This window comes from Homo sapiens, chromosome X, assembly GCF_000001405.40.
Source record: "Homo sapiens chromosome X, GRCh38.p14 Primary Assembly".
Lineage (NCBI taxonomy): Eukaryota > Metazoa > Chordata > Mammalia > Primates > Hominidae > Homo > Homo sapiens.
Genome location: NC_000023.11, coordinates 48,825,014 through 48,836,008, shown reverse-complemented (window position 1 = coordinate 48,836,008; position 10,995 = coordinate 48,825,014). Strand labels below are relative to the sequence as shown.

Genomic DNA, 10,995 nt, shown 5'->3' with positions numbered 1-10,995 from the left:
TCCATGGTCACATCACCTAGATTGAACCCATCTCCCTGGCGCGGGCCGGGCCCACTGCGGGTGATCCATTAACTATTTATCTAATGAACAAACTAAAGTCCATCTCCTCCCCCAGGAAGAGAGATGAGGACCAGACCCCCATTCCACTCCACTGAGTCAATTTTTCTTGCCTGTTTTCCTGTCTACTAAGGTAACAGTAAGGTCGGTTGCCCCAGCAACTGCCCTCCGACTGCCATGGCAACCGCCAGCTCTCCACCTTGCCCTTTGGGCATCTCCATGGCGACGGGAGGTCTGGTGGGGCTGCCAGCTCCCCAGGCTGCGCCTGCGTCGGTCGGGTGGGTGGGGTGGGGGCGGGGGGGGGGGGGCCTGGTTCCGGGCGTGCGCAGCCGCAGAGCGCCGCAGCCTCGCCAGCTCGCCCCGGCACTGCGCACTTGCCAGCCAGTCCGCCCGTCCGGAGCCCGGCTCGCTGGGGCAGCATGGCGGGGTCGCCGCTGCTCTGGGGGCCGCGGGCCGGGGGCGTCGGCCTTTTGGTGCTGCTGCTGCTCGGCCTGTTTCGGCCGCCCCCCGCGCTCTGCGCGCGGCCGGTAAAGGTGCGACCCCAGTCCGGCGAGGGGTGGGGGTTGGGGGAGGATGCCACCGGCGAGGGTTGGGGTTGGGGCTGCGCCGCCTCACCCCCGCCCGAGCCGGCTCCCGGGACGTGCGGAGAGATCGACGAGGGTGGCCCGGGCTCCGGCCGCCGGTCCGCGCCCAGGCCACGCCGGCACACCTGAGACCTGACTTGGTCTCTGCCTGTGCGGGTGGCGTTGTCCGGGGCGCCGCCGGTAACCGTGCCCTGCCCACCTCTCCGTGCCCGGTGCCTGTGACGCTGTCCACGGCACTAAGGCGCTTTAAGAAAGGGCGCGCGCGCATCAGTGTGTGTGCGTGTGATGTGAGGAGAGCGGTGTGGAGGTGTCGTGTCCTTGAAAGTGTGTGTTCTTTGGTTTGAGCGCTTCCAAGTGTCCTAGAAAGGTGCCGTGGTGCGTCTGGGTGTGTAGTGTGTGTGATACCGGGATACTTCTGTGCGCGATTCTTTTGTGCGTCCGATTGTTTTCTCAGTGACACCGTGTGGATATTTGTGAATCCTTATTATGTGTGTTGGCTTGGCCTATGGGCGTGTCTCTCTCTCTCTCTCTCTGTCTCTCTCTCTCTGTGTGTGTGTGTGTGTGTGTGTGTGTGTGTGTGTGTGTGTGATTTCGTTTGTGTTTGAGAGGGAATGGTCTTCGCATCTCCGTGTGCACATTCCATAGTGGTTCTGTTGGACCAAGTGCCTGGGATTTCGTTTGCGTGTTCCTGAGACTGTTTCTCTCCGTTTCTTTGTGGAGCTGTGTCATCCTGAGGAGAGGAGCCATGATGTCTCTCTGCTGCATTGTGTCTTTAAGGATGGTGCATGTCCTTGCACCTGGGTGGCTTGGCGATTGTAACTGCAGGAGCAGCTGCGGATGTGAACGTGTGCAGGTCCTTGCATGTGGCTGTGGCAGTGTTGGGCTGTATATGTGACATCTCCAGGCCTGTCAGTCCTCATGAGTGTGTGTGAGGCTGTGATTGCTGGTGAGTGTGATACCCCGGGGTGACTGAGGAGTGGTGGGCGCCAGCAAGGGCACTTGGAGAGGCATCCTCCTCTAGCTCTTCAATACTGTCTGCATCAAAGATGGGAATTAAAAAAAACTGTTACCTTATATCCGTGTAACAATGTGTTTAATATATATGTACAATGTAAAGAATGATGACAAAATAACTCTCTCGTGTAGCAGTCACTCAGCTTAATAAATAGAGCCTGACCAAGAGTTAGAAGCCCCTGCGTGCCCCTCGCCATGGCAGCCCCTGTCCCCACACAGTCCTTATTCTGTATTTTCTGTCCATTGATCCCTTACTTTTGTTTGTAGCTTATCACATATGTGTAGCTCTCAAAAAAAATCCATTGTTTAGTTTTTCCTGCTTTTGAACATCATTGAAACGGAATCATACTGGGTGACTGGTTCCTCGTAGTCACTAGGGGTCACTAGGAAGTCCTCAGGGTGTCTAGTAGTCTCAGGCAGTCTGCAGTGAAATTCTGGAACTTGACGTTTTTTTTTCCCTTGGCTCTATTCTGGTCACGAGATTCATCCAAGTTGATGCATGTGGCTGTAATTCATTTATTTTTATTGCTGCATAATATTACATCCTATGAGGACATCATGATTTATATATGTATTCTCAATTTGTCAGTGGACATTGGACTGTTTCCAGGCTTTTCTTTCTCCCCCGCCCTTTTATGCTATTACGAACAGTGCTGCTGTCATCTTTCACGAACTTGTGACCAGTAGCGTATGTGCCAAAGCTGCTCTGGGGAGTGACATCCCAGGAGTGGGTCATAGGATATGTGCATCTTTTTAGATATTGTCAAACCGCTCTGCAAAATTACTTTGCCAGTTTAATTCTCACCAGCATAGTATGAGAGTTCCCATTTTTCTGCATTCATATCAACACTTCATATTATCAGACTTTTTGATTTGGGTCAATCTTTTGGTTATATTATGCATAGTATCTCCCTGGCATTTTAATTTGCTTTCCCCTGATTACTAATGAGGTTTTTAATTTTATTTTATGTTTGTTAGAGACAGGGTCTTCCTCTGTCATGCACGCTGGAGTGCAGTGGTGCGATCTGGGCTCACTGCAACCTTGAGCTTCTGGACTCAGGTGATCCTCCCACCTCATCTTCCCAAGTAGCTGGGACTATGGGCTTGTGCCCCGCTCATTTTTTTTGGTTTTATTTTTTGTAGAGACAGGGTCTCGCCATTTTGACCAGGCTGGTCTCAAACTCCTGGCCTCAAGCGATCTTCCTGCCTTGGCCTCCCAAAGTGCTGGGATTACAGGCATGAACCACTACACGTGGCCCAATTTTTCATATGTTTAGTAATCATTTTTGTGAAATAGGCGATCATGTATTTTTTCTATTTCTGTATGAGTTTGTTTTTCTCTTACTACTTTTTAGGAATTCTCTGTATCTTCTGTGTACTACTCTTTCATTGACTATTTGTGTTGCAGGCATCACTCCTTTTAAACATATTTATATGTGGCCTGTATGTTTCTTTTCCAAACCTTCACAGTCATTTTTATGATCTTTTATTCCTTGCTCAGATTATTGGTACCCTCTTTTATTTCTTTAAACTTGTGGAAATTGTTTGAAAACTGCTTGAACTGAAAATTTGTCATTGGGTAATTTATTCTACAGATGAACTTGTACACATGCCAAATGATATATGAACAAGTTTATTCATATAGTTCCTATTGTCCACAATATTAAATATGGAAAAATCTATAACTGTCATATCTACCATCACTACTCTTATGAAGAAACTCGGTCTCCAGGAGTGGGGGTGGGGAGGGAGGAATTATGAGAGTCACCAAGGGATCACTGGCGCGCTGTGGGGTGGGGGTGGGGGGTGTCTGGGGATCTTTGGTGGTCTTAAGTGCGTCTGGAGATATTTGGTGGTTTCCAGTGGCCTTAGGGGTGTCCGGGTATATTTGGATGGTCACGGTGCTTTTGGTGGCATCTGGGATGTTTGAGGCCTACGAAGCTTCCCGGGCTGGGGGTCCCTGTCTCGACGGACGCTGACAAACTCTTTTCCCCCACCTCATTTTCCCGCAGGAGCCCCGCGGCCTAAGCGCAGCGTCTCCGCCCTTGGCTGAGACTGGCGCTCCTCGCCGCTTCCGGCGGTCAGTGCCCCGAGGTGAGGCGGCGGGGGCGGTGCAGGAGCTGGCGCGGGCGCTGGCGCATCTGCTGGAGGCCGAACGTCAGGAGCGGGCGCGGGCCGAGGCGCAGGAGGCTGAGGATCAGCAGGCGCGCGTCCTGGCGCAGCTGCTGCGCGTCTGGGGCGCCCCCCGCAACTCTGATCCGGCTCTGGGCCTGGACGACGACCCCGACGCGCCTGCAGCGCAGCTCGCTCGCGCTCTGCTCCGCGCCCGCCTTGACCCTGCCGCCCTAGCAGCCCAGCTTGTCCCCGCGCCCGTCCCCGCCGCGGCGCTCCGACCCCGGCCCCCGGTCTACGACGACGGCCCCGCGGGCCCGGATGCTGAGGAGGCAGGCGACGAGACACCCGACGTGGACCCCGAGCTGTTGAGGTGCCCGGCAGGGGGTGGGGAGGGGTCGGGCGCCTGCGTCCGGAGAGGACGAGGGCGAGGAACTGGGAAGCCTGCTTACCCCGTGGAGTGCGAACCCCTAAGTCCTGGGGCCTAAGAGGGAGTGAGGTCCTGGATCCAGGGAGTCCAGGCAAGGATGCCTGGCTGACTCAGTGGGGGAAGTGGACCCCAGGTCCTGGGAAGGGGAGAGGGAGGCGGGGAAGCCACAGTTTTCTGGGATGAAAGGCGATGACGGCTGTCTACTGAAAGCAGTGGGCTGAGGACGCCTTCTTGGGGAGGGAACCGTGTCCCCAGGCAGTATGTGGTTGTGGATCCTGCGTTCTGGGCCCCGAGCGTGGGGCGGGGGAACGCCCCACCGCGGACACCGCCTCACTGCTTTGCGCTCGGCCCTGCAGGTACTTGCTGGGACGGATTCTTGCGGGAAGCGCGGACTCCGAGGGGGTGGCAGCCCCGCGCCGCCTCCGCCGTGCCGCCGACCACGATGTGGGCTCTGAGCTGCCCCCTGAGGGCGTGCTGGGGGCGCTGCTGCGTGTGAAACGCCTAGAGACCCCGGCGCCCCAGGTGCCTGCACGCCGCCTCTTGCCACCCTGAGCACTGCCCGGATCCCGTGCACCCTGGGACCCAGAAGTGCCCCCGCCATCCCGCCACCAGGACTGCTCCCCGCCAGCACGTCCAGAGCAACTTACCCCGGCCAGCCAGCCCTCTCACCCGAGGATCCCTACCCCCTGGCCCCACAATAAACATGATCTGAAGCAGCTCTGTGCTTGTCTGTGTGAGTGGCAGTTTCTAGGGGCTGGTGGTTCCCCGCGGTGGTGGTTGCCCTTAGACCAGGAGAGAGGAGACTCTACCCTGGGTCCTGCACTTTAGAGCAATCACCTGCTCAGTCTATGTCTCTCCTAGGGGTGGAGGGGAAGACATCCACATGGACAATCGCGGATCTTGTGTCCCCCTTTTAGGCCTCACTTGGGTATGGGGATCCCAGGCTTTGAGGCCACTTTCAGGGCCTGCACCATCATCTTCCAAGGGACCATCCTCCTGAGGGCCAAGGGGTGGCTTTGTGGGGCACGTGAGTAGAGCTTGAGGTGCTGGCTGGGATGTCGCAGGCACACATGAACACCTCCTGATGTGGGGAAGAGAAAAGGAGAGAGCGGAGAGAAAGGGAGAGGGCACTGAGGGTCGGGAGGCCCCAGTACAGGCACACTCTTTGGCAGACAGGCACATTCTGGCAGGGAACTCTGAGAAGGCTGAGAAATTGGAGCCTGGGTATCCAGGTCACTAATAAAGTGTATTTGCCAAAGTAGGATAGGGTGTATTTCATTTACTTTGTAAAGCTTGATTCGTAATGTCTGAACGTTTACATATTTAGTTATGTAGTGTAGAGGCCTACCTGTACTCTTGCTCCAGGCCCTGGATATACTGAGGGTTGCTGTGGTGGCAGCTGATTTGTGGCCATGGTCTTTGCACTGGCTAGTCCCTCTGCCTCTGGATATCTTCAGGTTTTTGTCCAGATGTCACCTACTCTCAAGAAGGCTTTCCTGGACCTGTCACCCTATTCCTTCACCTGCCTTTAACACGTAGCCTTTATCACTATCTAGCCTGATGCCATATCTATAAGGGCAAGGATTTTTAAGTGTCTTGTTTGCCTCTACCTCCCTTATATATAAAGCGGAGCCTAGCACACAGTGGGCTCCCCCTGAATTTCTTGAATGAAAGAATTCTCACAACTCAAGTAACATTCTACCCAGTCTCACTCCCACCCACACAACACTCGGCATGGAGGCAGCTTTGAAACCCAAAACACCATTTATTTAATTTTGCACAAAATCTTTCAACTTGACATAACAAAAGCAACATTAGGCACTCCCATGTTACCAAAAAGCCCCTCACCAAGTGAAAACAAGAGAGATGTCCATCTTTCCCTAGTATACCTGATGTGTCCCTCAAAGCTAGTTGCCTCAGGGGTCTCATGTCAAATGAACAATCACCCTGGCCTGGGGAAAGGTCTACATTTCTTGGCCAAGACCTTCAGGCCACAGAGCAGCCACAGTGGCAGGTGGCCTTCTGGTGCCGGGTCTTCTCCCTACAGGACCTTGCCATGGGCTCCTTCGCCATGGCCTCCTGGACCCTCTGGATCTCATGGACCAGCAGGGAAAAGGCCTCCTCCACGCCTTGCCGTGTTTTGGCCGAGGTCTCCACGAAGTGGGCCCCCCAGCTGTGTGCGAGGGCTGCAGCAGCGGCATGAGCATCTCCAGCAGTGGTCACAAGGTCACACTTGTTGCCCACGAGGACAAGGGGCTGGGCGGGGTGAGGGCCCCAGGTGGCCCATATCTGCTGCAGCTGGATCAGAGACGAGGGGTCATCGAGAGCGAAGACGCCCAGCACACCATCACAGACAGCCAGGCACTGGTCACGCAGGGCCCTATGGATGGCCTGCCCTGCTGTGTCCAGCACATTCAGAATGCAGTCCCCACTGTCCAGGGTCAACTCCTTCCAGTAGGAATCCTGGATGGTGGGGTCGTGGTCCTCCACGAAGCACTGGTGGTTCAGCTGGATGGTCAGCGCACTCTTGCCCACGCCACTGGCGCCCACCACCACAGCCTTGTACTCAGGCAGCTGCCTGCCAACATCCCTGCGGCGTGCCTGAGCCCGGTGGGTTTCCCCCTGGAAGGAAGGGCTCCATGTGGCCAGGCCCAGGTCGAAGGTGCCAGGCTTTGTTGGCAGCTCCATGACCCCAGCAGGCAGCTCAGGGAAGAGACGTGGGCAGCAGGCTCTGCAAGTGGGAAGAGAAGAAGCAAGACAACAGGGGATACGTTAGGGGAGACCATTTGAGGGCAAGGAGACAGTGGGGTGTCATTATTTCAACATTTATTGAATGCCTATTGTGTGCTGATCACCTTCCAATTTGCATGCTATATATATATGATTTATGTTGTTTTCTCCCTGTCCCACGTCCCCCCATCTCTCCTTCCCTCCTCACGCGAATCAACAACTGTGAAGGCTGGATTTCCCAAACAGCTTTATTGAGATGTAATTTACATCCCATCAAGTTCAGCCAGCTAGTGTCCAATTTAACGGGTTTTAGCATATTCACGAAGTTGTGCAACTATCACCATAAGTAAATTTTAGAACATTTTCCTCACCCAGAAAAGAATCCCCATGCCCATTAGCAGTTCCTCCCCATGACAGAGGGAGGGCAGGATTTTGCCGGTTTTGGTCACCATTGAACCCTAGCCCAGCACAGTGCCTGCCAGACAGTAGGGACCCAACATTCCCACCCCCAGAAGGTTTATGTTCTAAAAGGCAGAGGCAGATAATATAATAAACCAAATAAATATGTAAATCACGTGGTCTGTTAGCCATTATCATTAGAATGTAGTCTTTATTAATTATTCAACATACATTTATTGGGAACCTACTGTGTGGCAAGGACATGGAGTTGGGCAATAAATAGACAACAAACTGTAGCCCTCATGAAGGTTATATTCTGGTCGGGGTGAGAGACAACAAACTAGGTTAAAAAGGGGGCGGGGCACAATGGCTCACGCCTGTAATCCCAGCACTTTGGAGGCCGAGTCGGGTGGATCACCTGAGGTCAGGAGTTCGAGACCAGCCTGCCCAACATTGCGAAACCCTGTCTCTAATAAAAACACAAAAAAATTAGCCAGGAGTGGTGGTGGACGCCTGTAATCCCAGCTACTCGGGAGGCTGAGGCAGAAGAATCGCTTGAACCCGGGAGGCGGAGGTTGCAGTGAGCTGAGATCACACCACTTGCACTCCAGCCTGGGAGATAAGAGCAAAACTCCGTCTCAAAAAAAAAAAAAAAAAAAAAGTGAACTATATGTCAGTAGCGGGTGATAAGCATGCAGAAGGTGCTCAGTTCATGCCAGGCTTTTAAATTATAATTTAATCTCCATTCATTAATTCAAGAATCTTCCTTCGTGCCAGGCATTGTGATATGGCAGTTAACAAAACAGACCCCAGTCCCTGCCCTTGTGAGGATTGGATTCTGGCAGAGAGAAAGAGACAGTAACAAGATAAGGAACAAGGAAGTTGCATGTTCGAAGAGGATGGGCACACGGCAGGTGGTCAATTAGTGTTAGTTATTAGCAGCACATCCCCATTCACTCAGTGAATGCCCCTCGGTGTCCTTGGGCTCAGGAAGTGCCCTGCTTAGTGCATCCTAATGGCTGTTGCCACGACTCCCCTCCGAAAGCCTGGCGCAGCGGCAGTTTGGGGGCGGATGGTGGCTTCGAGGTTTGGTGGAGCTGGAGATCCGGAGGTCGGAGTCGGGGCAAGGTCCCAAATGGGGATGCGGCCGCGGCGTCCTCAGCTCTGAGGGATCCCTGGGAATAGTCACTGGCGGCGTTGGCCCAGAAGGAGCGGGGGCGGGATAAAGAGAGCAGGAAGCGGAGGACGGAGCTTGGGGGTCCCCGACGGTTGGGGACAGGAAGAAGACCTGGAGGACTGCGGGGAGGGGCGAGGCGGCGGCGCACGTGGAGGGAGAGGTCGGCTTCTGGGGGTCCTGTAGGGGTGCCCGGCCATCTTTAGGGATGGGTCAGAAGGCAGAGGCGGGGTCGAGGCTGCCTCTTAAGTCGGGGTCTGAGCGGCTGGAGTCTGGGGGCGCCGACGGTGAGGAAGGAAAAGCCCGGGGCCTGGCCGAGTGGCGGAGCGCAGCTTCCACCCCAGGTGCCTGGCGGGACGGGGCCACACTCGCCCAGTCCCCGCGACGCGCAGGGAGGCCGCGGCCCTGGTCCCCAAGGCTCCGCTCCCGGGAGGAGCCCGAGGCGCAGAGGCACGTGCCGAGGGCACTGGCCCGGGGCCTCAGCCCGCGGGAGGCGCCGGAGATTGGGGGCTCGGTCCTCTCAAGTGGCGCGGAGCCCCCGGCGGGTCCCCGTGGCCGCGCGCTCAGAGCCGCTGGGACCAGGTTGGGGGGCTTCGCCCAGCTCACCAAGGCTGGCGCGCTAAGGGGCCGGGACCTGGGGTTAGGGCGGCCTCGCCAGGTCGTGCTTTCCCGGACGAGGCCGGGTGAGGTGCAAAGCTCGGAGTGCGGAAGGGTCCCCGAAACCAGGACTCCACTTCGGGCTCGGTGTGAGCAGCGTCGCCCGGGCATCCTGTCAAGACCCATCCCGACTCCGGGTGAGGCGGCCCCGCTTCCAGCCAAGCGCCGACACCCCTCCCGGCCGGCCGAGTGAGGGGCCGCTCGCCCGGGAGAAGGCTTGGCGCTTGGGGGACGATCCCCCAAAGCCGGCGCGGGGATACCCCCAGGCCTGGCAGGGCCAGGGGCACCGGCGCCTCGCTCACCTGTGTCCGTGGGGAGGCGGGCGCGCTGGGACGCTCTGACAGGCCTGGCGGGGGGCGACGCTGCTCCCCGGGGCACCCCGGCGGCGGTTGGGGGAGTGGACATGCGCAGCCGCCCTCCCTCGGCTCCTCAGGCCGCCCACCCCCCTGCGCCGCGCCCCTGCCCCTGCCACTGCCCCGCCCCTGCCCGTGCCATTGCCCCGGGGGAGCAAGGGGTCGTGCCCCCCCAGGCGGCTTGCGCACAGGCACGTGGGTGCCACAGCGGCCTCTAGGGGTGCACGGACGGCGGCCAAACCTCCCCGTGTGTCCCCTGTGGCGCCTCTCCCTTGCTTTCCTGTTGGTGGTGTGTGTGTGTGGGAGAGTTGGGTGTTAGATTTTGACCAGGATGGCCTGACTTTGGGAACGGTTTTGTGGGAAGCTCTTTCAGGCCACAGAGCCTGTGCTGCCTCAACTCGGTTTTTTGGTAGCTCTGGAGAAAAGACAGTGACAGAGGAGGGGTCATTCTGTCAGGGAAGAAAGACCCTGATTGGAGGCGGCTGCCTGTCAAACTACACATTTCCCAGGCTCCCTTGCAGCTATGGCAACCACATGCACAGTCCTGATCAATGAGAGGGCAGCAGAGGTGGGGCATCCAGAGGGCTCTTAAAACAGGGCAGCCCCTGGCCCGGGAGTGGTGGCTCACACCCATAATCCCAGCACTTTGGGAGACCAAGGCCAGCGGATCACCAGGTCAGGAGTTTGAGACCAGCCTGCCCAATATGGCAAAACCCCGTCTCTACTAAAAATACAAAAATTAGCCAGGTGTGGTGGTAGGCACCTGTAATCCCAGCTACTCAGGAGGTTGAGGAAGGAGAATCACTTGAACCTGGGAGGCAGAGGCTGCAATGAGCCGAGATCGTGCCACTGCACTCCAGCCTGGGTGACAAGAGCAAGACTCCATCTCAAAAAACAAAACAAAACAAGAACGGGGCAGCCCCGGCCCTTCCCCATCCCTCCTCTTCTTGACTCAGTAAGGCTGTGGTGGTCAGCTTGGGATCATAAGGTGGCCATGAAGAAAAGTCCTGGAAACCTCAGATCCAACTCCCTTGAGCTGCCAAAGCAATTCTCACCACGTGGGAGAAATTCAGCTCTCAGACTGTCCTCCAATTTCCCACCTGTGGTCAATGGCAGGCACCCCTTCTGCCAAGAAGCTACCATGACCACCACATTCAAGTTAAACCTGGACCTCCCACCATCCCCAGTCAGGCCAATGAGACAGTGGGGAAACAGGCCTGGTAAGGATACTTCCTGCTAGTTTTCTTGCCTTCTCAGCCTAGGGTGTGGGTGTGGCTGGGACTGGCTGTGAGGCTCCTATTTATAAGGCAAGCACCCATTTTCTCATGGATTCTACCATTTTATATCCCGTGGAGCCAGTCAAGATGGCTGCTCTATTTTCAGTTAGTTTTTTGGGGGCAATGGATGGGCAGGGGATTGACCTGACAGAGACCCACTCCCTCATTCCTTCATTACTCATCGGCTCTGCTGGCCAGGGATGTGGGG

At 56.3% G+C, this 10,995-nt stretch overlaps 2 protein-coding genes across 2 annotated transcripts, besides 2 other annotated features; one reads left to right on the top strand and one right to left on the bottom strand.

Annotated features, from left to right (window-relative positions):
- The first annotated feature begins 398 nt into the window (after positions 1-398).
- On the top strand, positions 399-4,913 carry PCSK1N (proprotein convertase subtilisin/kexin type 1 inhibitor). The gene is made up of 3 exons (NM_013271.5): positions 399-590; positions 3,668-4,140; positions 4,554-4,913. The coding sequence occupies exons 1-3, from the start codon at positions 477-479 to the stop codon at positions 4,747-4,749; spliced, it is 783 nt and encodes a 260-aa protein (NP_037403.1). The 5' UTR covers positions 399-476; the 3' UTR covers positions 4,750-4,913.
- Positions 4,577-5,077: an enhancer, noted in NCBI's record as "H3K4me1 hESC enhancer chrX:48689342-48689842 (GRCh37/hg19 assembly coordinates)". NCBI's record gives its function as "activates a minimal SCP1, AML or CMV promoter by ChIP-STARR-seq in naive H9 embryonic stem cells {active_cell/tissue: H9 hESC(naive)}" and the evidence as "EXISTENCE:reporter gene assay evidence [ECO:0000049][PMID:30033119]".
- Positions 6,140-9,496, bottom strand: ERAS (ES cell expressed Ras). The gene is made up of 2 exons (NM_181532.3): positions 9,460-9,496; positions 6,140-6,928 (listed from the first exon to the last, which is right to left on the bottom strand). The coding sequence occupies exon 2, from the start codon at positions 6,883-6,885 to the stop codon at positions 6,184-6,186; it is 702 nt and encodes a 233-aa protein (NP_853510.1). The 5' UTR covers positions 6,886-6,928; positions 9,460-9,496; the 3' UTR covers positions 6,140-6,183.
- Positions 9,629-9,678: a silencer, noted in NCBI's record as "silent region_20823". NCBI's record gives its function as "represses an Ori minimal core promoter by ATAC-STARR-seq in GM12878 lymphoblastoid cells {active_cell/tissue: GM12878}" and the evidence as "EXISTENCE:reporter gene assay evidence [ECO:0000049][PMID:35858748]".

Bases quoted from the DNA above. Each gene is read 5' to 3' on its own strand.
- ERAS (NM_181532.3), bottom strand. From the start codon at position 6,885: ATGGAGCTGCCAACAAAGCCTGGCACCTTCGACCTGGGCCTGGCCACA.
- PCSK1N (NM_013271.5), top strand. From the start codon at position 477: ATGGCGGGGTCGCCGCTGCTCTGGGGGCCGCGGGCCGGGGGCGTCGGC. The intron at 591-3,667 runs GTGCGACCCCAG...ATTTTCCCGCAG, and splicing joins TCTGCGCGCGGCCGGTAAAG to GAGCCCCGCGGCCTAAGCGC. The intron at 4,141-4,553 runs GTGCCCGGCAGG...TCGGCCCTGCAG, and splicing joins GTGGACCCCGAGCTGTTGAG to GTACTTGCTGGGACGGATTC.